Below are 26,704 nucleotides of genomic sequence, written 5' to 3' on the forward strand. Positions count from 1 at the left end.
GCAGGAGGAAGAGACAGCGGGGAAGGTGCTACGTGCTTTTAAGCTAGATCTCAGGATAACCCACTTACTATCATGAGGGGATATCCACCCCCAGGATCCAATCACCTCCCACCAGGCCCCACCTCCAACACTGGGGATGACAATTAGACGTGAGATTTGGGTGGTGACACAGAACTGAATCCTATCAGGATCTTTATCTCAGGACAGGGCCTGGGATCTCTGCAGTTGAGTAGGTGAGCTACGACCTGTCCAAGGCCCTGGGAGGACACAGGCTCATCTTCAGGGACTTTGATGGGTCCTCATAGCCCAGCCCCATCTCAGTGCTGCCAAATGAGGCCCGTGGCTTCCACTAGAAAGCAGAGTAAAGGACATCAGCATCACTCTGTGGAGGGTGCGATCAAATAGGATGGATCTGCTGCCTTGTTCTGCCAGTGCTGTCACCCTGAACCACTGAGCGTCTGTCCATGACTACACACAGGACGTCTCCGTGTCGTCGGGAAAACACCCACCAGCAGCCAGAGCTTACTGACCTCCACGGAGGGCTTGGGCCGTGAGGTGGGGCTCTCTGGCTTGCCGCCCTGGCTCAGCCTTTTACTAACCTTGTGATTTTGGACAAGTCACTTAACGTCTCAGAGAACAGTAAAAGAAACTGCAGTATCTCACTGAGTTGTCTGAGAACTAGAGGAGATAATACCTGAAAAGAAATTAAAACAGCAGGTGGTCATAGTAAGAGTGCAATCAGTGTTGGCTGTTATGAGTATTCTCTGCATGGGAATCCCCCACACAGCTGTAGGGGGCCATGCTGGGGCCACAAAACCACTCCATGGAGCAATGCCTGTCATCAGAGAAGTGGGGCATTATAATTAGCAGGCGCCAGGTCATTACTGTCCCCTGTGACCAGGGAGCACTGTTCTTACCGGAGGAAGGGGGACGGGGAATTTTGAAAGGTGGACAAAAACACCAACCAAACAAAACACTGAGGCAAAACTAAAAACAACAGCATCCACAGTCTTCTACAGATTGCCCCCAAACTATTTTGTCTACTGTCTCAGAGAGTAGGCAGTCGGCTTAAAGTACTCAGCCTATGGCTGTCCATGGAACTCTATACCAGTCTGCTCAGGCTGCCATAACAAAATGCCACAAGACTGGGTGGCTTAAACAATAGAAGGTTATTGTCTTACAGTTCTGGAGGCTGGAAGTCCAAGATCAAAGTGCCTGCTGGTTTGGTTTCTTCTGAGTCCTCTCTCCTTGACTTGCAGACAGCTGTCTTTCCCCCCGTGTTCTCACACTGTCTCTCCTCTGTTCATACACATCCCTGGTGTCTCTATATGCTTCCTCATCTTATAAGGACACCAGTCAGGTTGGACACAGGCCCTCCTGAAATAACTCATTTTAATGTAATCACCCCTTTAGGGCTCTATCCCGAAGTATAGTCATTCTGAGGTGCTAGGGTCAGAGCTCCAACATATGAATTTTAGGGAAACACAATGCCCTTCATAACAAACTCTATCCACAGAATTTCGAGATGTGCAGAATACAGACTTTAGGAGGACTTTAGAAATAACTGAGTTTCCAGCCTGGGCAACATGACGAGACCCTGTCTCTATGAAAAGTTTTTAAAAAGAAGCCAGGCAAAGTGACATGCAACTGTAGCCCCAGCTACTTGTGAGGGTAAGGTGACAGGGTCACTTGAGCCTGGGAGGTCGAGGCCGTGATGAGCTATGATCATACCACTGCACTCCAGGCTGGGCAACAGAGTGAGAACGAAAGAAAGAAAGAAGGAAGGAAGGAAGGAAGGAAAGAAGGAAGGAAGGAAGGGAGGGAGGGAGGGAGGGAGGGAAGGAGGGAGGGAGAGGGAGGGAGGGAAGGAAGGGAGAAAGAAAGACAGAGGGAGAGGGAGGAAGACAAGGGAAGGGAAGGGAAGGGAAATCACTGAGTCCCTCTGAGTCCCTCCTTTACCTCAGTTCAGAATAAAGGAGCCTTGTTTCCCTCCTGACTGTCATTCATTTCATGTGTTCAGTCACCATGGCTACAGTGACGACGGTAAATGTCTTGTATGTCAGAAACAATTCTAAATGCTTTGTATACTTCAGCTTGTAGAATCCTCACAAAGAGATAGGTATTACTACTATCCCCATTTTAAGGCTAGGAAACTAACCACGGCTAGGTTGGGCAACTTTTCCAATTCTTGGAGCTGTTGAATGTCTGTGGCAGCGTTCGAGTCCAGGGAGTCTTGCTCTAGAATCCAAGGTGTTAACCATTAAGCTTTTTCAGAGACACATGACGACACACATGTAAAGACCCACACTATTCATGCATCTTGCCTTTAATTTAAAAGAAAAGGCAATGAACATTTTCTGACTGCCTTTTGAGGGCCAGCCACTTTACAGCCTGCTCTCAGAAGAACTCTAGGAACTCTTGTAATCTCAGTTTTTGAGAAAACTGAGGCTCAGTGGTGAATTGACACAGCTGGAATCTCACAGCTGGTAAGTTTATGAAACTAAAATTTCAACTTTGAGATGCGTGATGGTAAAGTGCTCATCCTGTTGGACTCAGTTGCTTCCAAGGCTGAAAAAAGTTCCTTCTGAACACTCCACACCAGTGGTTTTGGGGGGTTTATTTTTGTTTTTTTGCCCTGTGAGGCTTGATGGCTGAGTGGTAGTGAAAATCAACTTAGTTGGTCAAAACCAACTTTGGAAAATGAAATAGAGATGAAGTGGTATCAGCAAAAAGGCAGACTAGGCAGTCCCACCCCTGTTCACCCATAACAACTATGATTTAACAACTACCCATGTATGAAAATGGCTCTGAGAGAACTCCAAAGTATAATTAGAAAGCTGCAACACCCCAGTGGATTGCAATAACAGAGGACAGCCACGGAGAAAACTGCTGGAAGCATTTCATTTGCATCACCCCAATCCCAAGCTGGCACAGCTCGGATGCCAAGAGGTACACCCTTGGTCACAACTTCCTCCAATAGGAAAAAAGGATAGCAGGACCCTGGAAACCTTTACAACTGAGGACACTAACAGCCCTTACTGCTGTTGCTTGCTGCAACAGGCACCTGCAGCCTTTGCCACTGAATACCACAGAGTCTTCGCCAATGCTCATCCTAGCTGACAGAGCTGCCCAAAGTCCATAGCACTGTGCCCTCCAGAGCCAGAGCCATCACTGCTCCTTTCCTGGGACCTGAGTCACCACTATGCCTCCCCCAGGGCTGGAGTCACCACCATGTGCATTCTTGCACCCCATCGCATTGTATATGTACCCACCAATCAGACCCATCACTAATGGTGGCCATGTGCCCACTGGCCAGACCTAGCATCACCATGTGCACCCAGAAATGGCACCTCTGCATGCCTTAGAATCAGCATCCCTGGACCTTGTGCCAAACCCAGCACTGCTCACGCCCTTTCCAGCCAGTGCCCTTGTGCCCACCCATAGGTAAAGGCCTTTTCCTACCAAAGCTGGTTTGTAAAGTCTGGAAGAGGTGGCTACTCCTTTATGTGAAGGCACAAGGCAAGGGTAAAAGGTGCACCAAAAAATCAAGGAAACATGACAGCAACAAATTAACACAATAAATATCTAGTGAATAACCCCCTCAAAATTGAGATCTATGAATTTCCTGACAAAGAATTCAAAATATCATTTTAAAGAAGCTCAGTGAGTTACAAGAAAACAGAGTTCCTGAACTCAGGAAAAGAGTACATGAACAAAAGGAGATGTTCAGGAGATAGAAATAATTAAAAAAAAAAAAAAAAAAAGAACCAAGCAGAAATTCTGGAGTTGCAGGATACCATCAATGAAATGAAAAATGCAGTAGAGAGCTTCAACAGCAGACTTGCACAGAAGAATCAGTTAACTCGAAGACAAGTAATTTGAAATTACAGTCAGAGGCATGAAAAAGAATTTAAAAAAATAAAGAAATCCTATGAGATTTATGGTATAGCATCAAGTGAAACAAATACACATTCTGTAAGTTCCAGAAGACGAGAGAGAGAAGTGAAAACTTACCCTCACTTCTAATTCCTGAAATTTCTGGAGATTCTGTGATGAAAATAGAATCTTCTCTTTTCTTTGTTGATAGCTAGTTTTATCAAGCCCATATTTGGTTTCACTGATTATCTCTTTTTTTATTTGTCTTCTATTTCATTGATTTCTGCTCTAATTCATTAATTTCCTTTTACTTACATTGTGTTTCACTTGTTCTTCTTTTTCAGTGATTGTAGACCAACCTTGTATTTTTTCTAGTATTAATATTTATAGCTATAAATTTCCCTCTAATTTTTTAGCTGCTGCCATAAAATTTTATGTGCTATACTTTCATTTTGACTCAGGTCAATGTGTTTCTTAATTTTTCATTTAATTTCTTCTTTGGGGTTATTTAGAAGTGTGTCATTTAATTTACACCAAACAAATTTACACCAAATAAATTTAACAAAATTATTTCTGTTATTGATTTCTAATTTAATTCCATTATGGTTGGAGAAGATACTTTGTTTAATTTTACTCCTTTTATAGTCATTGAGACTTTCTTTAAGACCCTATGGCTTACATAGGGTCTATCCTGGTGATGTTTTATGTAAGCTTGAAAATAATGGATATTCTGGGTGGATTGCTAATATATGTCAGTTTAATCAAGTTGTTTGATAATGTTGTTCAGATCTTTTTTATCCTTTCTGACTTTCTCTCCACTTGTTCTATCAATTACTGGAAGAAAATTATCAAAATCTTCAACTATCATTGGTATATTGTGTATTGAACTTTTTAGTTCAGTCAGATTTTGCCTCACGTGTTTTAGGACTTTTTAAAAAGGTACATGAACATAATTTTGACAGCTCTGGCTATTGCTTGCTCTTTTCTTATTATGAAGTCACCCTTTTTTCCCAGTAATATGTGTTATCTTAAATTCTATTTTGCCTGATATTAATATAGGCACCCCAGTTGTAATGTATTTATTGTTCACATGGTATGTAGTTTTTTTGGATCCTTTTACTTTTAATCTGTTTGTCTTTGAATTTAAAGTTTATTTTTTGTAGCCAGCATAGAATTGGGTCTTGCTTTCTTTTCAGTCTAACAGTCTTTGCATTTTGATTGGAGTGTTTAATTCTTTTAAATTTAATAAAATTTTTTATGTTTGGATTTAGATTTAGAATTTTGTTATTTTTTCTACTTGTCATGTCTTTTTTGTTCCTCTATTATTCTTTGACTAGTTTTATTATTTTATTTTTAATTTATCTTTGAGACAGGGTCTCACTCTGTCACTCAGGCTGGAGTGCAGTGGCACAATCATGGCTCACTGCAACCTCTACCTCCCAGGCTCGAATGATCTTTCCATCTCAGACACCTGAGTAGCTAGGACCGCAGCTACTCCCGATTAATTTTTGTATTTTTTGTAGAGACAGGGTTTTGCCGTGTTGCCCAGGCTGGTCTTGCACTCCTGGCTCAAGCAATCCTCCTACATTAGCCTCCCAAAGTGCTGGGATTACATGCGTAAGCCACCATGCTTGGCCAACTACTTTTATATTAAAATATTTTTAGTACACCATTTAAATTCTTCTGTTTATTTTTTTAACTCTGTTTCTTTAAATCTTTTTTCCTTAGTAGTTGCTGCAGGGATTACAATATGCATCTTCAATTTATCATAATCTACTTTAAATTCATACCGATTTACTTTTTTTGGTGAAAAATAAAAACTGCACAATTATAGCTTCATTTCTTACCCTCCCTCCTCTGTGCTGTTATTGTCATGTATATTCTATTTGTACATATGCCATACTGTGTTATAAACCCACAGTTATAAAACCACAGTATGGCATTATAATTTCTGATTTAAATAATTGTGTGTGTGTTTTAAAATAAGACAAGAAAAAGTAATGTATACATATACATTTTATATTTTTATTATATTATATATTTTCACTTTACCTACATGCTTACCATTCCCAGTGCTCTTCTTTTCTTTCTGTGAACTGGTTTACTATCTGATATTAATTTCTTTCATTTTAAAGGACTGCCTTTAACTTTTCTTGTAGTGTAAGTCCAACAGAACTAAATTCCCTGTTTTGTTTATCTGGAAAAATATTTATTTCACCTCAATTTTTGAAGGGTAGTTTTATCAGATAGTAAATTTGTAGGTGAAAGTTCTTGTTCTTGTTTTTGTTGTTCTTTCAGCACTTTAAACATGTCATTCCACCACCTTCCAGTCACCGTTATTTCTGATGAGAAGTCAACCACCAATCATGTTGTCTTTAATGTGATGTATCTCTGTTTCTCTCTCTTTCTCTTAGTGCTTGCAATGTTATCTCCTTTATTTGGCTTTTGGCATTTTGACTATGACATCTAGGTGTGATTCTCTTTAAGTTTTTTTTTGTTTTGTTTTTGTTTTTGTTTTTTACCTTGGGTTTATTCAGTTTCTTGACTCTGTAAGTTAATGGTATTTACTCACATGGAGACTTTTCAACTTTTTAAAAAAATAATTGTTCTGTGCCTCTTTCTCTTTCCTCTCCTTTTGGGACTCCTATTACATTTGTGTTTGAACACTTTATATTGTCTGGCAGGTCTCTAAGGCTCTGTTTACTTAACTTTTCGTTCTCTGTTCTTTGGATTGCATAACTTCTGCTCTATCTTCAAATGTACAGCTTCTTTCTTCTGCCGTCTCAGATCCGCTCTTGAACCCATGTAGTGAATTTTTGTAATTTTCAGCTGTAGAAATCCCATGTGATTCCTTTTTTATAATTTTCATCTATCTATCCAAAGTATCTATTGGTTCACTGTTAACAAAATTTTCTTTAATTCTTTGAACATTTTTCCTTAATTCCTTGAGCATAGCTATAACAACTTCTTTGAAGTTGTGTCTTAATCTACTGTCTGTGTTGGTTTTTCTGGTCACACTTTCCTGTTTCATTGTATGTCTAGTAATTTCTGGTTGAAAACTAGACATTGCAGTGATTCTAGACTCCATTCACTTTCCTAAAAGTTGTTGGTTTTCTGTTTTAGTAACTTTTCTGGACTTAAATTGCAGAATTAATCTCCTCCATGGTGTGCAGCCACTGATACTACAGTGCAGTTTTTATTATAATATTTTTCTTTGTTTTTCAGTCTGGCTCCCTAAAGGTGTCCTCTATTCTTGTATTATATGATGATGAGACAATTATTTAGACAGAAGTTATGCTCAGGTACCTTGAACAACTAAGCCTCCCATCTTCTGCTGCCAGAGCTGTGTGTGGCCGAAGAAACACATTCACATGTACAAGTCCTCACGGAAGGTGGGAGGGTGAGACAGGGGTGAGGGTTGAAAAAGTACCTATTTGTTCCGATAGGTACTTTTTGTGGCAAAACCCTGTCTCTACAAAAAATACAAAACACTAGCTGGGTGTGGTGGCATGTGCCTGTGGTCCCAGCTACTTGGAGGCTGAGATGAGAGGATCACTTGAGCCCAGGAAGTCAAGGCTGTAATGAGCTGTGACTACATTATGGCACTCCAGCTTGGGGGACAGAGTGAGACCCTGTCTCAAAGAAGGAAAAAAAAAACTACCTATTGGGTACAATGTTTACCATTTAGGTGATGGGCACACTAAAAACCCAGACTTCGCCACTATGCAATATATGCATTGTAAGAAACATGCACTTGTACCCCTTAAATACATAAAAACAAATAAATTTTAAACTAAACAAAAAAATTTTTGCACATCGTCAGGTCTCCCTTGGCTCTCACTTTTTGCTGCCTTTTTGGGTTTCTTCCCTAGTCAGAGATGTGCAGGGAGTTTATTGTCCCAGCCCTCTCATGGCTTGCTTACTTCCAAGTTCTCATCACAATTCTGGCTGATCTCCTGTCTACCATGAAAAGAAGCTATAATCTCAAGCCAGTAAAGCTGCAGATTTTTATTTTCTCCCTAGAACTGATTCCATGAACTTTAACCCATAAAATGCAGATTCTCATCTCCCCCATCCCAGACCAAATCTACCAACTTCTGCTGGTATAGCTACTAGTTTTCTTTTTATCTATTTATTTATTTAATTTATGTTTGAGGTGGAGTCTCGCTCTGTCACCCAGGCTGGATTGCAGTGGTGCGATCTCAGCTCACTGCAACCTCTGCCTCCCGGGTTCAAGCGATTCCTGTGCCTCAGCCTCCCTAGTAGCTAGGACTACAGGTACCCACCACCACACCGAAATAATTTTTGTATTTTTAGTAGAGATGGGGTTTCACCATGTTGTCCAGGCTGGTCTCGAACTCCTGACCTCAAGTGATCTGCCCCGCCCTCAGCCTCCCAAAGTGTTGTGATTGCAGGCTTAAGCCACCGCTCCCTGCCTAGCTACTGGTTTTCAGTGACAGCCCTCAAACCAAGTCCACCATTCCCATTAGGTAACCTGTGCTTTTCCTCACTCAGGCCAGGGGCTGGGGAGCTTCAGGCAAGATGTCCGTAGACTCATGGCCATTCTGATGCAGGCCATTTTTAAGATTAAACACTTATCAGATCATTGTCTGCTTTTGGTTTTTCTAGTACCCAGAAACAAACATTTTCTAGTACCCAGAAATTGTTGTTTCTGACAATTTTGTCTAGTTTTATACTTGTTTTCTTCAAAAAGAAATTGGCCAACTTCTTAGACCCTTCTGAGGTGAATCTTGGACTGGATTGGTTTTATGTTTCTTCCACTTACTTTATTGCCTACAGCTTTTGATTTTGATCAGAGATGTACTGATATTAGGAGGCTGGTGAAGGCACATGGAAGGAGAGCTGAATTTTGCATAAGTCACCTCAAATGTACAAAAATAAATGGCAGAACCAGTGATGCTGAACGCTGAACTGGGCGTTTCAGAGCTAGGGTCTAGTCTCAGTCCCGCCTTGAGAAAACCGCTTTGAGGTTTTCTACCAAAAGGCTCCCCAGCCTCCCCTAACAAGTGTCACTGTTCCCATCTTCTCCCCGGGGTCCTTTCCCCACCTCTCTTCCGCCTTTCTCATGGGCCCGTGACTGTGAGGGTGAAAATGGCTGAAATTAACTTTCACTTCTGCTCAGACATCTGGAACCCATGAGCAAAGTCATTTCCTTGTTTTCTTTCTGAGTGGCTGCTGGAATCGTGTGTGTGTGTGTGTGTGTGTGTGTGTGTGTGTGTGTGTGTGTGTGTCTGGTATTGTTATTTTCCAACCTCTGTCTGTTGGGGTGGGCATAAAGGTGATGTCTTATCACAGATCACATAAGGGCCAGCACACCTCCCTGCAAACTCTCACATCCCCTCCCACTCTAACCTTGGGTAGACAGACCATGTATTTTCTTTGTAGGATGCTGGGTTTCCTGCTCTCCACTACATTCTCTATACCCTCAAGTCCAAGTATATAAAAGTTGTCCAAACGTCAGCTATTTAGGCCCTATTGAAAAAATGTTAGAGGCGGTTCAGGCAGCGTCACAACATCCTGGTTCAGTAAAAGACTCAGCCTAGGGATCTGTCTCTGAGAGTCTGTAGGAGTCTTAGTCACGAATCATGTTCAAAGCCTTCTCCTTGGCAGCTTCCCCCAGTGACCCCTGATAGAATTATTGCCTCCGCCTCTGGTCTAGCACTGTGCCCCGTTGAGGCCTCTGTGGCTACATCTACTACGCTCCACTGCAGTGATCTGCTTATCAGGCCCCTTCTCCAAGCTCCTTAGGCTGAGACTCTCAGAGGAGGATGGAGTGTAGCTGCGTTGGTATCCCCAGCCTCCAGCAGGTGCTTAGCACAGAGCAGGTGTTCAGAAAAACAGTGCTGCATTAATTGAATTGAAATAGGAAGACTAAGTTACCTCATCTCAAATCAGTCACTTTTTAAATCAGAAGCTCGCAGAGTTTGGAACTCATGTTTCATGTTTGGATCCATGTAGTAGGTATCAGGAAGTGAATGTAAGAGTAAATTAACAGGAGCTGCCATGGACTGAGCAGGCCCAGGGTTCTGGACATTGTTGTGAGCCCTCTGCTACCACGTGGAGAAGATCAGCTTTGGGATTTAAAGCAATTAGCCACATTCACATCAGCTTCCAGGTATTTGCAGTTTATTATGTGCTAAATACTGTAATAGATACTTTTTATGCATGAATCCATTTATTCTCACAAAACCCCTTGGGGAAGTGAAACAGATTATTTCCATAGTGTCTTAAAACCCCAGAACTCTGCGTTGCTGCGTCTATTGACATGAACACCTGTCAAACCTGCAACTCATAGCTCAGTATTGTCTCAGTCCAATCCAAGGAAATGAACTCCTTGAGAAAGCTGACATTCTGGACCATGGGGTAGAAGCTACCCTGTCTGCCTCCCACACCCACTCTCAAGGATCCAAGACTATGAAGGGAGAAGAGAGAGCCCACCGAGTGACTTCCTCTTATAAGCCAATATCAAGACACTAGTGGAAAGGAACCAGCTGACCAGTGGCTCACTGTGTCTGGCTGGACCAGCAAGACTCTGACGTCATCACAGAAGCCTTCTTGGTCCCATTGGTCCTTTGACTGCTGTGTACAGGATGCCACCCACCACTCCAGACACCACTCACCACTCTAGATGTTGGGATCCTTCTCCCGTTACCTCCATTATTCTTGTTCTCTACTCCTCTGAGTTTTCATAGCCAAGCAAATTTCCACCATTGAAGAGGCTCTGAGATCCAAGTCAACTAACTACTGGCTAGGGTACTGTAAAACACATGGGAAATTAGCTTTTACCAAACACCAATTCTATGCCCACCATTCATACCCATTCTACCATTTAATGCTGATAGTATCCTGTGAGCTAGCTATTATTAGCATCATTTAAAGACAAAGCAAAACCAGTGAGGCTGAAAGAACGGCTGCCCTGGTGCACACAGATGGCACATGGCAGAGCCCAAGCCCTCTCCATGAGATCTGCAGCGTTTGTCCACACGGCAGGGCAAATTACCTTGTAGAGTCAGCATGGAGGTTTGCTAACTCTGCCGGACTTGGTGCAGAAAAAATACCAGCCGTGCTGTTAAACCAAAACCCCAGGAGAAAACTTTCTGGTGACAGAAGGGCATTGTGACCCACGTTGCCCAGGGCCAGGGACAGGGCAGCTGCTCATGGTCCTTCCTCACGAGTTTTCCTGGAGCAGAGGGATACCCCCAAACCCAGGGAGCCCACAGGAGCTTCAGAAGGGCTCGGCTGGAGGGCGGGGCCCCTGTTGCACTTGCTCACTGGGGACTGGGGAGGCTCTGATCGCAGACCGGGGGTGCTGCCACCTCTGTCTGCTGCCGGCAGAAAGCCACAAGCCATGAAAACTGATTGAGATGAGAAGAATTCATCTGGGACTGGCTTTTGCTTTAGGATGGTGTTGGAAGTTGCTCGTTGTCGCTAGGAGCCTGCTCCACTGTAAGGGTGTCAGGATCTGAAGAGCTATGGTGAAACACCACTGAAGCATTGCCAAGGTGAGGCCCTGCGTCTTCCGGGTTCTTTATCGTCTTCCTTTAAATTGTGCAAATGGTGCTGTAAGGCCTGTAGTGGGGCAAGCAAGCAAGGACATTGCTGTGGGTGCCACAGACGGAGGAAGAGGCATGAATGGATCGCTGCCTCAGCTATGAATAGATTGCTCCATGGTTTGTGCATTTCCAGTTTTGAGAATTTTTAATTTATAAAAGGTCATCCATCCAGGGTAGATTCTGCTTTTTGGAAAAGGCAGTGAATGTGCCACAGAGGAGAGAAGGGACGTGGGATGTAGAGAGGGGGTTGAGCGGGCACACACAGGCCACTGCTGCGCTCCCGGCGAGTCACTCGGCCTCTTGATAGGAGGTGATATTGACTGTGCAGAGCTGACAGAGGTTAGTGGTCACAGGCGGGGAGCATCTGGCTCAAGGCAAATGACTGTTGCTTTCGTTTTATTTGTTTGTTTCTGAATGAAGTTGTTCCATTTTTCAGGCATTCAGGAATGGGGTAACTGAATAGATGTAATGATGATCTTCTTGTTTAAGAGATCTATTTCACCAGGAAACACCAACTGTGAAAAGGAAAGCATAGTTGATCACATATTTTGAAAGGATTTGTGTAAATTGTAAGGTTTTGACAACGTTTCCATTTATCTGGTAATGCGGGTGGATGAAGTTCACCCTCATCCACCCACATTACCAAGGAACTAAGGAATTGTGCGTTTGCAGTAACAGAAGAAATTGCTGTGATATGTGCATATCCTCCTCCCTCGGGAGAGTGGGACTTAATTCCCCTCACCTTGAGTGAGGTTTGGACTAAGAGTATGGAAAGGGAGAAATAGTAGCTCTGTAGAGGAGAAACCTGCAGATGCCAGCTTCACCAAGGGACCAAGCTTAGCATCACCGGGAATAAGCTGGGCTGCTATTGTGAACTGCCACGACAGTGCGGTTCTTCCCACCAACTCATAACCCCAGTCAAATCATGAGAAAACATCAGACAAATCCAAACTGGGGAAGATTCCACAACATATTTCACCTTCAAAAATGTCAAGGTCATGAAAAACAAAGAAAGACAGGCAAAGCGTCACAGATCAGAGGAGACATGATGGTCAGGACACCCAAACCCAGAATTCGCATCCTGTATTGGATCCTAAAGCAACACCGCAAAGGTCATTAGTGGAAAAATAGGTGAAATTTTAACAAGACCTGGGGTCTCGCTAATATTGTGGTAACAATTACTGCTTAGTTCTGGCAAATGTACCATGGTTACGTAAGGTGTTCACATTAGAAGAACCTGGTGAAGGAAATATGGAAATTCTCTGTGCTATCCCTTGTAATTTTTCTCCAAATCTAAAATTACTGCAAAATAAAGAGTTAAAAAAAATTAGACTCATTCTTCCTCAGAGCAGGAGTAGCCAAATCCTGAGCATTCTTGGGAAAACTGGCGTTCATGGCCTGGTGATCACACCTTCTCTTTGAACATTCTGGAATATAGCAGGCCTTTTGAATTTTTGACCATCCATCATTCTCTCTCCCAACCCCTACCTGATTCCAGAATAGCTCTGTATTTGCCTCTCTTCATAGTATTTCTCATGGATGATTATATTGTTGTTGTTGGTGTCCAATGGGTTTTGTGGGGGTTGTTTTTCGTTTATGTTTTTTGTTTTTCAGAGATGGGGTCTTGCTCTGTTGCCCAGGCTGGAGTGCAGTGGCAAGAGATCATCGCTCACTGCAGCACTGACCTCCTGGGCTCAAGCGATCCTCCCAACTCAGCCTCCTGAGTAGCTGGGACCACAGGTACGCCACTGTATCTGGCTAATTTTTTAATCTTATTTTTTGAAGAGATGGGGTCTCGCTTTGTTGCCTGGGCTGATCTCCAACCCCTGGCTTCAAGCCATCCTCCCACTTTGGCCTCCCACAGTGCTGGGATTGCAGGCATGAGTCACTGTGACTGGCCCAGCATGCATTTTTGAGCCTTTGCTCTGTGGCAGGGGCTGCAGGACGGAATACACTCTCATCTGCCCAGCGAAGCTCACTGCACTGGTGCAGGCTCCTGGCACCCCAAGCACAGGCCCAGCTACCCAGACCTGACTCCTCTCCAGGAAGGAAGCAGAAAGCCAGGAATGGAGAGAATGAGGACCCAGGCCCCTGGGGGAGTACAGAATTCCAGCCAGGAATCTGCCGTCCTCTGGGCTCAACCACCCCACAGAATCTGGTCAGCCAAGTGGCTGTGAGCTGGGCTCGACAGCCCTTCCTCGAGAGTAAACTGTGGCCTCTAGGATGTAGAGAGGGGACTCAAAGGGCCAGATCCCATTTGAGTGAGGATTCTGACCTTGTGAGCCCACCTGCAGCCTGGGGTCTGCAGCCTTGGGGACTGGCCACCGGTGGCCAGCATCCTGGCTTGCAGGGTTCACGTGTATAGAGAGGTAACAGCAAGACAGAGAAACCTGGCCCCTCTTGCAGGCCCAGCAGAGCGGGTGAGCCCTACTCAAAGGTGATGCTGCGCCTGATTAGAGAAAAGCTTCCAAAGCAGGTGAGGAGGAAGAAAAAATGATGAAGCCGCAGGAAGACAGCACGTAGATGGAAATCTCAACATACTGAGATGGAAATCAATCACAAAACTCTTACAGGAAAATCACAGCTAAAAGTTGGTGATTACATGTGGGCCTGCAGTGCCTTTCCTGTCACATCTGCTACCCCACTGCCAGCCTGCTGCTACCCCACAGCAGCCCTCCCATTTGTGGAATGTTCCCTGGCGTGCTCCTGCTTGCCTGAATCCCTTCCCCACCTTCCCACCTAGGCAACTTGCATTTGCTCTGACGTCCAGGGCAGGTGCGAATGTCTCCTCCCAGTCACAGTGCCCAAGCCCATTTGTGTGTCCCCAGCAACCACCAGCACACACCCAGGGCTCTGGTTTGCAGGCCTGCCAGGTTCTCTGGACCAAAGCTCCTGAGGACAAGGACATGCCCTACATGTGCCTCCAGGTCCCAGCACCCAGCGCAGTGCCTGGCCCACCAGGGGTATCTGGTAAAGTGGTTCTTGAGTTAAAGACACAAGGGCAAAACCTTAAATGAAAATCAAGGTTAAGACATGAGGATGAAAGCTTGAAAGAGGAAAAGCAAAGATAATTGAATGATCATCCCTAATCGTGGTGCACCCCAGTGCCATCAGCATGCTGGGGTTTTGACAGGACCCTTGGAAGAAAGAGAAGAGGCATCTGAGGCCTCTGGCACATTCCACTTCCTGTAAGACAGTGTGGTATAGATGAAAGCATTGGGGCTTCCTGCCAGCCAGGTCAGTCTGGCTCTGCACCTGCCAGCTGGGAGTGTGAAGTGGGAGCAGTTGCACCCACTCTCAAGCACAGACATGAGAACTGAACAGAACCACGGAATGGGGGTCCAGAGCCCAAGACATAGACGAGGCTCCTCCTTGTCCACTGTGGGGCTTGTGCAACCCCTTCATCAAAGCGCTGGTGCTTTCCACATTGTAATCAAGGAAGTTTTCTCACGTTCCTTCTCATCACAACTAGCTGCTGGCCTTTTTGCACACTTTGGCACCTAGGATGCTGAACCTGGACCAGTGGGAGGCAAACAAGACACACCTGGGATGCAAAATGTAAGGAGGCTCCCATGCTCAGGTCGTTCAAGTGCAGGAAAAGTTTGTGTATGTGTGAAACGCACAATGCCATGTGGTGTCTATAAGGGCATTTGAGGTTCTGTGCTTAATAGATGAAGTGGGTTCTGAGCATTGAGTCTGTGGATTCCTGATGAGTTTCCTGGTGCTCTGAGCTCCGTGAACTTGTAAACAAGCTTTTGTGTAGGTGGGTACTTACAGTTTTTGTCAGATTCCCAAAGGGGTCTGTGAACCCCAAAATATTTGGAATCACACAGTCAAATATCTAGGAAGACTACTTTAATTTTCTCTCTCAGCGTGTTGTGGATATGAGGAAGTGGAAAGGACTTGGACATAGAAGTCAGACAAAGCAGCCACATCTGAGTGGTCTCGTCCTGCAGTGTAGTGGTTAGACGGCTGGCCTTGTCAACCAGAGGGCTCCAGTGCAAGGTTCAGCCCTGGCAATGTGAGCAAGTCACTGTGTGCCTTCCTGAGATGATAATAGTTTGACCCCACTGTATACGAGCAGCCTTACCTGTCTCGGGTAGGTTAATTATATCCTCTCAGTCTTATTTCTTCATTCATTGATAATAGCACATCACAGGATTAACAGAATTAAATTACAAAGCCCTAATTTTTAGGTGAGTTGAAGCTGAGGAGCACACAACTTTTCTTACAGGGTGCACTCAATTCTCAATGTCAGAACCACCAGGGGGTCCTTGTACTTCAAAAAGACACATCTTACATGACAACTTCTTTGATTTACTTTTATGCCCAATATTCATTTTGAAACCTCACAAAGGAGAGCATGGTGTTGTTGTTTCTCAAAAGAGAAAGTAAATTTAGTAAGATTGAGAGCCATGAACCTAGACACAGTCACAGGGCACATAAGATTTCGGTCAATCACAGACTACATATATGATGGTGGTCTCATAAGATGAAGACACTGTATTTTGCCTGTACCTGTTCTATGTTTAGAGACACAAATATTCACCACTGTGTTACTACTGCCTGCAGTATTTAGTACAGTCGCAGGCTGTGTAGGTGTGTAGCCTAGAAGCAACCGGCTATGCCACAGAGCCTAGGGGTGGAGTAGGCTCTACCATCTAAGTTTTGTATACGATGTTCGCAGAACAACAAAATCACCTAATGACACATTTTTCAGAACAGATCCCTGTAGTGAAGCAATACGTAACTATATTTTGGGAACTTCCCCTGTATCCAGATAGTCAGTCCAAGAGCTGTGTGTTTGGATCTCACAGTGCTTGAGATCCTGAGAGAATCTCATTTCCTGAGTCAGATGTGGGCATTCTTTCTTGGCATGGGTACACTGCCGTGGCTTGTGCTGAAGGCTGCATAAGAAACAGAGGTTGGAAACTCACAGTGGAATTTATTGCTGAGATGACGTTAAGCTGTTCGCATTCCACCCAGGACCTCCACAGGAGAAGCCCAGAGAGGATGACTCTCAGACTCCAGATCCAGGAAATCCATGCCTCTCTGGAGCAATGGATGTCTTACAGACACTGTGACTCTTCAAACTGATTATTTTCTTCTTTGTGCTTGGACTCCAGGACACTTAGAACCCAATTTGCATCTAACCACTAGCAGTTTGGTGACAGCATGTCACAGTTTGTATTTCTGTGCACCAGCTTTATACACATTTTTTTTTCTGCCCTAACTTACCCTTTGGTCTAATTTCTTTATCTGTTTTTCTATCCTGTTGTATTGTATGTATTTTTATAAGCGGTCTCAAATCTTTTCTGGAAACACTAGGAAATGAATATATAAACAAATACAAGCAGGACAGCATTTCTGAAAGAGCCTGATATACAGTGAGGGTGCTCACTAAGGATTAGTTCCCTATCTGTGTACAAAACAGAAAAATTCACTGAGGGAGCCAACCTGCAGTCAAATGTCCAGCTGTGAGTCTATTACAGTTATAGAAATAGCTTATTTTTACACATATTCCACCTTAGATTGATTTGGGGGGTGTTTGTTTTTGTTGTTGTTGTTTGAGACAAGGTCTCACTCTGTTGCCCAGGCTGGAGTGCAATGGTTTGATCTCAGCTCACTACATCCTCCGCCTCCCGGGTTCAAGCAACTCTCCCACCTCAGCCTCCCGAGTAGCTAGGACTACAGGTGTGCACCACCACGCCCTGCTAATTTTTGTATTTTTTTGATAGAGACAGGGTTTCATCATGTTGGCCAGGCTGGTCTCAAACTCTGGACCTCAAGTGATCTGCCTGCCTTGGCCTCCCAAAGTGTTGGGATTACAAGCATAAACCACTGCACCTGGCCTGTTTTTTTGTTTTGTTTTATTTTGTTTTTGTTTGTTTGAGATAGGGTCTCGCTCTGCCTCCCAGGCTGGAGTGCAGTGGTGTAATCATGGCTCACTGCAGCCTCCACTTCCCCAGCTCAGGCAATCCTCCCACCTCAGCCTCCCAAGTAGTTGGGACCACAGGTGTGCACCACCACGCCTGGCTAATTTTGGTTTTTGTAGAGATGGGTTTTTACCATGTTGTCTAGGCTGGTCTCAACCTCCTGAGCTCAAGCAATCTGCCTGCCTCAGCCTCCCAAAGTGCTGGGATTACAGGCATGAGTGACCATGCCTGGCTCTACCTTTTATGTTAAAGTTTATATAAATTATTTCATTTTAAGATTCTTTTATTCCTGCCATTTCTGTGGTGCAATTGGATTTTTACATAAAGTTAAATAATACTTTTTATTTTGGCCAGGCGTGGTGGCTCACACCTGTAATCCCAGCACTTTGGGAGGCCAAGGTGGGAGGATTGCTTGAGGTCAGGGGTTCGAGACCAGCCTGGCCAACATGGTGAAACCCCATCTCTACCAAAAATACAAAAATTAGCTGGGCATGGTGGCAGGCACCTGTAATCCCAGCTACTCAGAAGGCTGAGGCAGGAGAATTGCTTGAACCCAGGAGATCTCAGCAGTGAGCTGAGACTGCCGCTGCACTCCAGCTTGGACGACAGAGTGAAAAAAATTAAAAATTAAATGATACTTTTAATTTTATTTACTATTTTATTTGAATAAATAAAAGGATCCTTTAAAAAGTATTACACACGAAAATAGGGTCAAAAGTCATAGCCCATTTTCTTGATTTTATTTGGTGCTTTATGGGAAAGGCTAAACTCTCTCTCTTTTTTTTTTTTTTAACACATTAGCATGGAAAGGAATCATTTCTACTTTGTGGTGTCTGTCTGTCTGTCTATCTGATGGGCTCTCTGGCACCTGCCAGCACACTGGGGGAAGTGTGAGGTCAAGATAGGCATCTTGTAGATGAAGAGCATGGCGTCCTGGTAAACGTTTAACAACCAGCTTTCCAGGAAACAAATGTATTGTATACATACATAAGTTTATAGTAACATGTACTGATATAAAGGATGCGTAGCACTTAATTTACAAATAATAACAAAATATGCAATAGTCTCTGTCCTAAATACCGCAGAGGTGATTGAGTCTCATAGAAAGCTCTCGTGACTTTGCACTGTCATATCCGTAGCCAAGCATTGGTTGCAGCAGATGAGCAAGTGTGGTGTTGGCACAAACACTGAAATGTTCATTCATGTTAAGGAGCAGATCAAAGTGAAACAACAAAGAGTTGGGGCAGGCTGCAGCCTTAGTGCCATGAGCGGCTTCTTTGTTGAACTGGGTAGTAGTTTTTCAATATTCAGAAAAGTTTCCTCAATGTTTTGTGCTACTCACAGTGTTCTAGCTACAGACAAGATGCTCTTTTAAGCATAGAAAATCCATGAAACAAATCACTGCCGACCTGTAGCATTTGCCTGTTCCTGTTGTATAAATACTCCCACCAGGGCCAATTTCAAGTTGCTAACATGACTTGCGTGAACATGGGTTCGAGATGCGCAGCAGCACAGCACGATAGAGTACTTCCGCCTTATAGACACAGTCAGTTAAAGAACCTCAAAGCATAGCTATTATTAAGATGCAGTAAAAATAATCAGGAAGTGATGAGGTTTAAGTATTTATAACCTTTGTTTTAATAGAATCCATTTAGTTGTATCTTGTATAATTCAACTTTAATTTTTTATCATTTTAATTTTATATAGTTTTTTTTTCTTTTTCTTTCTTTTTTATTTTTCTTTGAGAAGGAGTCTTACTCTGTTGCCCAGGCTGCAGTGCAGTGGCACGATCTCTGGTCACTGCAACTTCCACCTCCTGGGTTTAAGGGATTCTCCTGCCTCATCCTCCCAATTAGCTGGGATTACAGGCACCCGCCACCATGCCTGGCTAATTTTTGTATTTTAAGTAGAGTTAGCCAGGCTGGTCTTGAACTCCTGACCTCAAGTGATCTGCCCAGTTCGGCCTCCCAAACTGCTGGGATTACAGACATGAGCCACCACGCCCGGCCCGTATAGTTTTTATACCTTAATCTTGCATAATGATTTGAATAATTCAGCTCACAAAATTCCTGAGAATTTAACAACCGGCTCTAGCATACCGGCACAAGCTGGCCCCCAGTGCATCACTGACGGGGAGGCCGAGTGTCTTGAGGCCACACTGCAGATCAGGGTCCTGCCTGCAGCCAAGTGGGGACAAGTGGAGAATAACTTGCCTCCTGGGCTCTCCTGAGTCCCGAGCCTGACAGCGGAGGCCCAGGTGGGTGACCCTGCTTTGTGCTCGGTGGCAGGGGAAGGGGGGTGGGCCTGTGGGCCTGGATGGAGAACCTGTCCCCATGGCTGTCATGTCCCTACACCAGCTGCTGCCAGCCACTGTGGGGTTCGCAAGTCCCCACTCGCAAAACGGCTACTGTTTTCCACAACCATGGGATACAAGGATGTCCCCTTGGGCTCCTTCTCATCTCTACTCTCTGCTGGCCTCTTTGCACAGATTGATACCTGGGATGCTGAGCCAGGACCAGAGGGAGGTAAAGACACACCTGGGGTGCAAAACTGAAGGAGGCCCTGATGCTTGAGGTTGTTCAAGTGCAGAGAATGTTTGTGTATGTGTGAAGCACACAACCACACGTAGCATCTAAAAGGACATTTGATGTTCTGCACTTAATAGATTAAGCTGGTTCTGACCTTCTAGCCCCTGGGCTTCTGATGAGTCTCCTGGTAGCCTGTCAGCTCCTGATCTTGGATGGGAGCTTGTGTGTAGGTGGGCACTCTTCTGCAAAGTGCGTTTATGGCTTTTATCTGGTTTCCTCTGATCAGAAAGATCTGGGGGTGCTGGCACACCCAGACGACTAGTAACTCCCAAAGGGAGAGGTGCAGCTTTGTCACCTGCCCCTGTGTCAGGTGGGACGTGAGATGCTCTATTTTTTTCTGCTCCATCCTGTGCCCAAGCCTTATACAGGGTGACCCTTTTCAGAGAGGCCTTTGCCACCAGGTCAGTGTGAGCATGTGGCTGGGTGATTTCCTGCCGTGGACCAGGGATCTGTGTGCTGTCTGAAGTAAGCAAGGGTGCTCTTTCTTGGCAAGGTCTGAGGGCTGAGACTTGCAAGGAGACACCTGCTCTCTTGGTCACCAGACTGGAGGTTCCTATGTGCAGGTGTGGAGGATGGAAGAGGTCACTCTGTCCTCTTTCTTGCCTGGGCCTCACCTCTGCTGAGGCTGCTGGCTGCCCTGGGCTCGCAGTGAAAGGGGCCATCTTCCACCCTCCCCTGCTGGTCAAGTGCATCTTTCCAGGTTCCGGCACTCCACGTTGCCACCCAGACAAGTGTCCTGTGGGAACTAGCAAGTGGGAATCAAAACTACCCCCAGAGAGGCTCCTGGCCGGGAGATGAAGGGATCTACCCTGGGGCTAAAGTCTCCCCAGCCTTTCTTGGAGCTTAGGTCCTGGCTTTAGAAAGATCCCATTCACATCCAGGCACAGTGGCACACACCTGTAATCTCAGTACTTTGGGAGGCCGAGGCAGGCGGATCACTTGAGGTCAGGAGTTTGAGACTGGTCTGGCCAACATGGCGAAACTGTCTCTACTCAAAATGCAAAAATTAGCTGGGTGTGGTGGTGTGCGACTGTAATCCCAGCTACTCAGGAGGCTGAGGTAGGAGAATTGCTTGAACCCAAGGAGGCAAAGGTTGCAGTGAGCTGAGATCGCACCATTGCACTCCAGCTTGAGCAACAGAGCGAGATTCCATCTCAAAATAAAGAAAGGAAGGGAGGAAGGAAGGAAGGAAGGAAGGAAGAAAGAAAAGAAAAGAAAAGAAAAGAAAAGAAAAGAAAAGAAAAGAAAAAAAAAAGAAAAGATCCCATTCACCTGCACAAAAGCCACACCCCTTTGTGGCCAAGGAAAGGGCCACAGAAGAAGAAGTAGGCCCTTCAGAAGGGGGAGAAGTAGGCGCCTTCAGAAGCTGGTTATCCGTGTGTAATGCCATCACAGGGACGTGCGTTTAAGATCTTTTATCAGTCTTCGTAGCTAAATACTTTTAGTTAATTGCAGGCGGGAGGGGCTACTAGCTCAGGCTACATGGAGCATGTGCTCAAAAACTGTCTCCAATATGGTGACTTGCTGTTTGAGGACGGTCTAAGCGACTGAGGAGTGTGCCCCCTGTTCCCACCCTTGAGATGAGGCCTGATAAGGGTGCTGGCATATTTAGTGTTGGGCACCCTGGTGCTCTCCAGCATGTGGTGTTTGGCCTAAGTGGCCCATGTGGACTTTGTTTCAAGGATTTTACGACAAGAAACACCAAAATGAGGACATCTCTGTGGCCATGTTTCAGGCAAGGGGGTAATGGATACAGAGCATATGTACACACAAACACACATGCACAGAGACACGTACAGACACATACATGCACACAGACACATAGATACAGACACATACACATAAGAATACACACAGAAACACACAGACACCCACACATATACACACATGCACAGACATGTAGAAATACCTAGACACAGAGGAACACACAAAGATACACAGGCACACATACAGGTACATCTACATGCTTATCAAAAACAACAGCAAAACCACCTACCATGACAAATACTATTGCAGCAAAACTGAACAAATAAATTCTGTGCCATAAAGTTTCCTAAACCTCATCTATTTTGTAGAAATCTAGTCACTTGAGTATCATCCTTCACAAAGTTCTTTCTATTCTTTCTACTGTACAAAGTTTTCTGTTGTCAAATAGCAAGAGATCTCTGTTTTCTACTTGGAATGGGCCTGGAGAAGGGAGACAGCACCCGCTCCCTCCACCCCTTGTCCCTGAGCACAGCATGGTGACCTGCCAAGCCAGAGGGTGACCTGGACACTCATAACTCAATGCAGGGCCAACTGTAGCCTCTGGCCGGTGTCCCTGAGTGAGGGCAAAGTTGTAATAACACTTGTTCTCTCCTTTCTCCAATTTGCTCCCAAGCTCCATTGCTTTCGTTCAGGCCCTCCCCCTTCTAGACTGGGCAGTTCCGCATCCTTGGAGCTCATTTCTCTGTCTTCAGAATCTGATGCTCCAATTCATCCCATGTGTGGCTGCCAAGGTCTTTCTAAAACTCAAATGTGGCCCTATCACCGCACAGGGTAAAGCCACCATAAACTCCTCTGTGTTTGAGAACAAGGGCCAAGTCTCCCATTGAGGCCTCCAGGGAGTGGACAGTCTGGGTCTCCTTTCTTCTCCAAGCACGCTGGGCCCATCTGTCCTGTCCCTGAGGACTCCCTGGCACACATGACACTTCAGAGCTTTTGCCAACTCCACTCCCTGCCTGAAATGCCCATCTCCTTCAGAGAGCTTCTATGTATCCTTGGAGGTCCAGTCCTAATGTCCCTGCCTCCGATAAGACCTCTCCCCATCTTCCTCTCGCCCTGCTCCTGTCCCCGCCAGGCATGACAAATCTCTTCCCACAGTGGGCCCAACAGGGAGGCAGATGGTAGAACAGGTTTTGGGCCAGGTGCCAGGTGCACGTGGCTCTTCATCCTGGTTCCCCACCGCACACCTGGAGAGCTGAGTGCTTTTCCTGAGGTCACGCAGAAGGTTACCAGCCTGGCTCTGGAGCTGTCTCTTTGCCACATCGTGGGGTGTCTTTAAGGTGACCTTGAATGTGCTTGAAGCTGTTTTATGTCCTATTTGCAGACCTAGGGGAGGACAATGCCAGGGCTTTTTGCCTTCCCAAGGTCACAGCCTGAAGACACTCAGAAAGATGTAGTTGGCTCATTTATCATTTTTTAGAAAAAAAGAAAACAACAGAATGTGCTGAATCCTTGTAACTGTTGGCCATGGCACTAGTTTCATGGAAGGTGGAAGGGCAGGTTAGGCTTCTTATGAGGGCGTTCCTGGCCTCTGGAGGGGTGTGGGTGGGCTCAGGTGAATGACTGACAGACTGGATTTACGTATGTTGAGTGTGAATCTCAGTCCACAGCTTGGTGTGCAAAAACAGAAAAGCTATCTGGTAATAGCTACATCTCTGTTGGGGAGAGGAAACTGACCTCTCAATTCAGGGTCTTCATACCTTTCTCCAGGGTGGGGTCTAAGTTCTGGGAGCCTCATGAGTCTCAGGAATTCTGGGGTGGCCTATTTGGTCTTTGTCATCAGTCCATGCAGGGGGCTGCTAGAATGTCATGTCAGCCTCTGACCCTGGCCAAGCCCCCTCTCAGAGATTCCAGGCCACATCCCAGGTTGAGGGATGCATCCTCCCACTCTGGGGCCCCCCAGGTGGGACTCTCAGGGAGGCCACTTGAGACGCGGTTGCCCAAACTGACTCAACAAGATCTCTCAGTCACGGGCTGAAAGATCTGCATCACGGGCTGAAAGCAGGAAAGTTCTTTTGTCTCTCTTTCTGCTTTCCTGTGACAATGGGTGCAGAACCATCGTGAATGGTTCAGGTGCGGGTAGGGAAAATAACAAATAGGAGGAAGAACAATCTCAGAAAGGCAGGTAGCCTGTCCCATCTGCTGACAGAGCAGTGTGTAAGCATCACTGAGCTTGTGACATTGATGTTTTTTCCAACATGCAGTATAAATGTACACTGTGATTTTACAAGGCCAGGAGCCAAGTAACAACACCCTTGGCAGAGGAAGAGTGAAGTGGGGAAGGAAACTGAAGCGGGCTAGGGAGGAAGGACAGCTTGACAACTAGTTAGAATTGGAAGGACGATGGACTAGGATTGTAAAAGAATAAGGCAGAATGTCCTACCTTCCCACCTTGGCAAACCCTGCCCCTGGGAGTGGTCCTGGATTTGCAGTGGCCCTGGCCTGGACCACCATGTAGATGTCACTAATGGATCCTCCCAGGGGACGGGCCTGTCATGGCCCTCAAGAAAGGCAGGGATGACCACCCCAACTGCAGGGGAAGACACCACCCACCCTGAGGGCTTTTGGGAGCTTTTAAAAGAAGGCAAGTCACGCTTTAAAAGAACTTTGAAGAGACAGGAGCTTAGTGGACCCAGTGGAGATAAAAGGTCCAGGTAAGGAGTGGCCAAGCACTTGGAATTTAGAAGAGGCGAATCAGAAAGTCCCAATGGACCAGCTTGGGGGTTTGGGGGTTACTGGGTCCATGTCAACATACAGCTCAGTGGGTGCCAAAGATCAGCCAGGCCTAGGGTGCAGATGACAGTGAGGCAGGATGGTGACCTGGATTAGGACTGGAGGGGGAACCTGAGGCCAGGAGAGCAGGGAAGAGATTGCTAAAGACAGTCACCCCATGGCAAGCTAGTTTTCTCCCCGAGCCAGCATTTCTACACGTGAGCACTGGCCTTGCTGTCTGGCTGGGTGACTTCCTCTCTCTGGGGTTCAGGGCCCAGCACTGCTAATCGGGGGTAGAGTCAACGGCCTTCCAGTGCACCCTTTGGTGGCTCTGTGTGGCACATCAGGCACACTGGTCAAGTAGGGGGTCATCACCAGGCCTTGGGTGCTTCTCAAACCTAAAGTCATGTGGTCCTCACAACAGCCCCGTGATGTCATCAGGAACCTGCCCACTGGCCCAGGGCTGGGAAGGACTAGAGCCAAAGTGCAGGCTCAGGACTGTTTGACCCCAAAGCCAGTGCTCTGAACCCTCCATCTGTCTTCATTAACCACCGCCTCTGCCACTACTGTAAGGCAAGAGAAGCGTGTCACGGCGCGAAGGCTAAGCACATGCTGGGAAATCACCCGTGGCTTGCAGACACATGCACAGCTACTGGGGGTAGATCAAGAGCCAAGAACGGGTGAGCTCAAGCTGTGCTCACATGGGGCGCGTGCTAGGTGACTGTAGGCCTCAGAAAACCTGGGATCCAGAACAGCTTTCCTCCGCTAGGGGGCTCTGGCACAAGTTTGCCTGAAGACATGGCCCCATGGCGAAGCCATCATGTGTGGGACCTTCCTTGGCCCCCTCTTGGTGAGCCACATTCCTGTCCACGCAGTAGCTCCAGCCCCCACCCGTGGCTTTTCACTTCTTCCTTGCTTTCCACTTCTGACCACCCTATACCAGAAGGTACTTCATGTCAGTCCTCTCCCGCATTCCCTCTGCCTTCGGGTCTCCTGGAATTGGAACTGTCACTAGTCAATCATTACTTACGGGGATGTGCAGAAAGCCAGACACTGTGCTGGGCCTCGGGCGGCAGAAATAAGACAGCCACTGTAGTGTCAGCTGTGTGCACCCATCTCTCCTTCTGACCCAAACGCAACTGTGATGGGGGCCGGTCCTGCCCTTTGGGGCCATCAGACAAGGGAGCAACTGACATTTGCAGAGGCCAGAGGAGCCGTGGTGGAGGGGTTTTCTCAGGGCTCGAGGGAGGTGCCTGCCCATCCACTGAGAGCTTTGGGAAGGAAATGCTGGGCGCCTTTTGTGCCTCCTACTCATCAATTCCCCCCAGCTGCAGGCAAGGGAGGTCGTTAGCAGCCCAGCCTGTGGGGAGCAAGCAGGCCATGAGCTGCATGCAGCTGGCACTGCTATTACTTAGGAGGCATCACAACAATGACTCAGGTGCTGACCATAACCCTTAACCAGGTCACAGTGGCTGCCTAACTGTTGAAGCTGCTACCCCTCCTTTAGGTTACACCGCACGAAAAGTTGGCAATCCTCTCTCTCGGTGGCTGCTGTGGGAGCAGCTAACCTCACAGCACCCGAAGGGATGTCATCGGGACCCCAGCTCGGTTTCCAGCATCAGCTGATGCCAGCAAGAAGCCAGCCAGGCCTGGGGCTTGGCAGCCCAGGGACTTTACCATCCACCATCCACAGGGCTGTTGCCCTGGACAGGTCATTGATATCTGACTCACAGCCAATTCATGGATGACGTGAATCCAAAAATCAGAGGCCCACGTGGATTTAGACATGGAAATGCCTCACCAGCTTCCATGAGCCAGTCTCTGTGCGGCAGACTTGAACTGCACGGGGGCTGATAGGAAGCAGGGTGGGCGCTGGGATGTGACTGCGCCCTTGCCAGTGTTTCCAGTCTCCCAGCTCGGGTTCTGTGGTTGTCTAAGCCTGGGGGTGCTCTGCCGGGTCTGTGGCGACCCGGCTGCCTTTTCAGCCTAATCACCAGAGAAGCCACAGAAAGAGCTGGACCACTTAGAGGGGCAGTCTGGCCACAGCCACTTGGAAGAACAGGCTGATTTTGTACAGATGTGTCATTTTCTCCTGACTTTTAAACTGTAAACATTATATAATACCCTAGAAAATTTTGAAAATAGATATAAACCATCAATAACACTGGCAACCTAACACTTTTACCTAAGAGCTACCCATTTTGATTTATCTGATGCGCAGTTTTCATTGCTGGAATCATAAAGACATAGCACC

At 46.1% G+C, this 26,704-nt stretch overlaps 1 protein-coding gene across 6 annotated transcripts in view, besides 17 other annotated features; it reads left to right on the forward strand.

Annotated features, from left to right (window-relative positions):
- Positions 328–857: an enhancer, noted in NCBI's record as "active region_27011". NCBI's record gives its function as "activates an Ori minimal core promoter by ATAC-STARR-seq in GM12878 lymphoblastoid cells {active_cell/tissue: GM12878}" and the evidence as "EXISTENCE:reporter gene assay evidence [ECO:0000049][PMID:35858748]".
- Positions 928–1,067: an enhancer, noted in NCBI's record as "active region_27012". NCBI's record gives its function as "activates an Ori minimal core promoter by ATAC-STARR-seq in GM12878 lymphoblastoid cells {active_cell/tissue: GM12878}" and the evidence as "EXISTENCE:reporter gene assay evidence [ECO:0000049][PMID:35858748]".
- Positions 1,178–1,227: an enhancer, noted in NCBI's record as "active region_27013". NCBI's record gives its function as "activates an Ori minimal core promoter by ATAC-STARR-seq in GM12878 lymphoblastoid cells {active_cell/tissue: GM12878}" and the evidence as "EXISTENCE:reporter gene assay evidence [ECO:0000049][PMID:35858748]".
- Positions 1,238–1,457: an enhancer, noted in NCBI's record as "active region_27014". NCBI's record gives its function as "activates an Ori minimal core promoter by ATAC-STARR-seq in GM12878 lymphoblastoid cells {active_cell/tissue: GM12878}" and the evidence as "EXISTENCE:reporter gene assay evidence [ECO:0000049][PMID:35858748]".
- Positions 2,700–2,799: a silencer, noted in NCBI's record as "silent region_18933". NCBI's record gives its function as "represses an Ori minimal core promoter by ATAC-STARR-seq in GM12878 lymphoblastoid cells {active_cell/tissue: GM12878}" and the evidence as "EXISTENCE:reporter gene assay evidence [ECO:0000049][PMID:35858748]".
- Positions 3,190–3,309: an enhancer, noted in NCBI's record as "active region_27015". NCBI's record gives its function as "activates an Ori minimal core promoter by ATAC-STARR-seq in GM12878 lymphoblastoid cells {active_cell/tissue: GM12878}" and the evidence as "EXISTENCE:reporter gene assay evidence [ECO:0000049][PMID:35858748]".
- Positions 8,554–9,814: a transcriptional cis regulatory region, noted in NCBI's record as "chr8:11349255-11350515 region (GRCh37/hg19 assembly coordinates) targeted for CRISPR interference". NCBI's record gives its function as "positively regulates BLK gene expression in GM12878 lymphoblastoid cells {active_cell/tissue: GM12878}" and the evidence as "EXISTENCE:mutant phenotype evidence [ECO:0000015][PMID:33828297]".
- Positions 8,977–9,126: an enhancer, noted in NCBI's record as "active region_27016". NCBI's record gives its function as "activates an Ori minimal core promoter by ATAC-STARR-seq in GM12878 lymphoblastoid cells {active_cell/tissue: GM12878}" and the evidence as "EXISTENCE:reporter gene assay evidence [ECO:0000049][PMID:35858748]".
- Positions 9,888–11,508: a transcriptional cis regulatory region, noted in NCBI's record as "chr8:11350589-11352209 region (GRCh37/hg19 assembly coordinates) targeted for CRISPR interference". NCBI's record gives its function as "positively regulates BLK gene expression in GM12878 lymphoblastoid cells {active_cell/tissue: GM12878}" and the evidence as "EXISTENCE:mutant phenotype evidence [ECO:0000015][PMID:33828297]".
- Positions 9,888–12,327: a biological region, named in NCBI's record as "CDK7 strongly-dependent group 2 enhancer GRCh37_chr8:11351829-11353028". NCBI's record gives its function as "regulatory_interactions: BLK".
- Positions 11,128–12,327: an enhancer, noted in NCBI's record as "CDK7 strongly-dependent group 2 enhancer chr8:11351829-11353028 (GRCh37/hg19 assembly coordinates)". NCBI's record gives its function as "activates an origin of replication core promoter dependent on BRD2, BRD4, P300/CBP, MED14 and CDK7 cofactors, with strong dependence on CDK7, by STARR-seq in HCT116 cells {active_cell/tissue: HCT116}" and the evidence as "EXISTENCE:reporter gene assay evidence [ECO:0000049][PMID:35650434]".
- BLK (BLK proto-oncogene, Src family tyrosine kinase) overlaps positions 11,195–26,704 on the forward strand; it is a 70,213-nt gene continuing 54,703 nt past the window's right edge. For all 6 annotated transcript variants that reach the window (XM_011543824.2, NM_001715.3, XM_011543827.2 and 3 more), the window contains exon 1: positions 11,195–11,399. The gene's annotated coding sequence lies outside the window, so the exon portion shown is untranslated. The remainder of the gene's footprint in view (positions 11,400–26,704) is intronic.
- Positions 11,217–11,406: an enhancer, noted in NCBI's record as "active region_27017". NCBI's record gives its function as "activates an Ori minimal core promoter by ATAC-STARR-seq in GM12878 lymphoblastoid cells {active_cell/tissue: GM12878}" and the evidence as "EXISTENCE:reporter gene assay evidence [ECO:0000049][PMID:35858748]".
- Positions 11,417–11,506: an enhancer, noted in NCBI's record as "active region_27018". NCBI's record gives its function as "activates an Ori minimal core promoter by ATAC-STARR-seq in GM12878 lymphoblastoid cells {active_cell/tissue: GM12878}" and the evidence as "EXISTENCE:reporter gene assay evidence [ECO:0000049][PMID:35858748]".
- Positions 15,770–15,849: an enhancer, noted in NCBI's record as "active region_27019". NCBI's record gives its function as "activates an Ori minimal core promoter by ATAC-STARR-seq in GM12878 lymphoblastoid cells {active_cell/tissue: GM12878}" and the evidence as "EXISTENCE:reporter gene assay evidence [ECO:0000049][PMID:35858748]".
- Positions 20,184–20,323: an enhancer, noted in NCBI's record as "active region_27020". NCBI's record gives its function as "activates an Ori minimal core promoter by ATAC-STARR-seq in GM12878 lymphoblastoid cells {active_cell/tissue: GM12878}" and the evidence as "EXISTENCE:reporter gene assay evidence [ECO:0000049][PMID:35858748]".
- Positions 23,611–23,670: an enhancer, noted in NCBI's record as "active region_27021". NCBI's record gives its function as "activates an Ori minimal core promoter by ATAC-STARR-seq in GM12878 lymphoblastoid cells {active_cell/tissue: GM12878}" and the evidence as "EXISTENCE:reporter gene assay evidence [ECO:0000049][PMID:35858748]".
- Positions 24,734–24,963: an enhancer, noted in NCBI's record as "active region_27022". NCBI's record gives its function as "activates an Ori minimal core promoter by ATAC-STARR-seq in GM12878 lymphoblastoid cells {active_cell/tissue: GM12878}" and the evidence as "EXISTENCE:reporter gene assay evidence [ECO:0000049][PMID:35858748]".

The sequence above is a fragment of the Homo sapiens genome, chromosome 8 (genome assembly GCF_000001405.40).
Source record: "Homo sapiens chromosome 8, GRCh38.p14 Primary Assembly".
NCBI classification, from domain to species: Eukaryota; Metazoa; Chordata; class Mammalia; order Primates; family Hominidae; genus Homo; species Homo sapiens.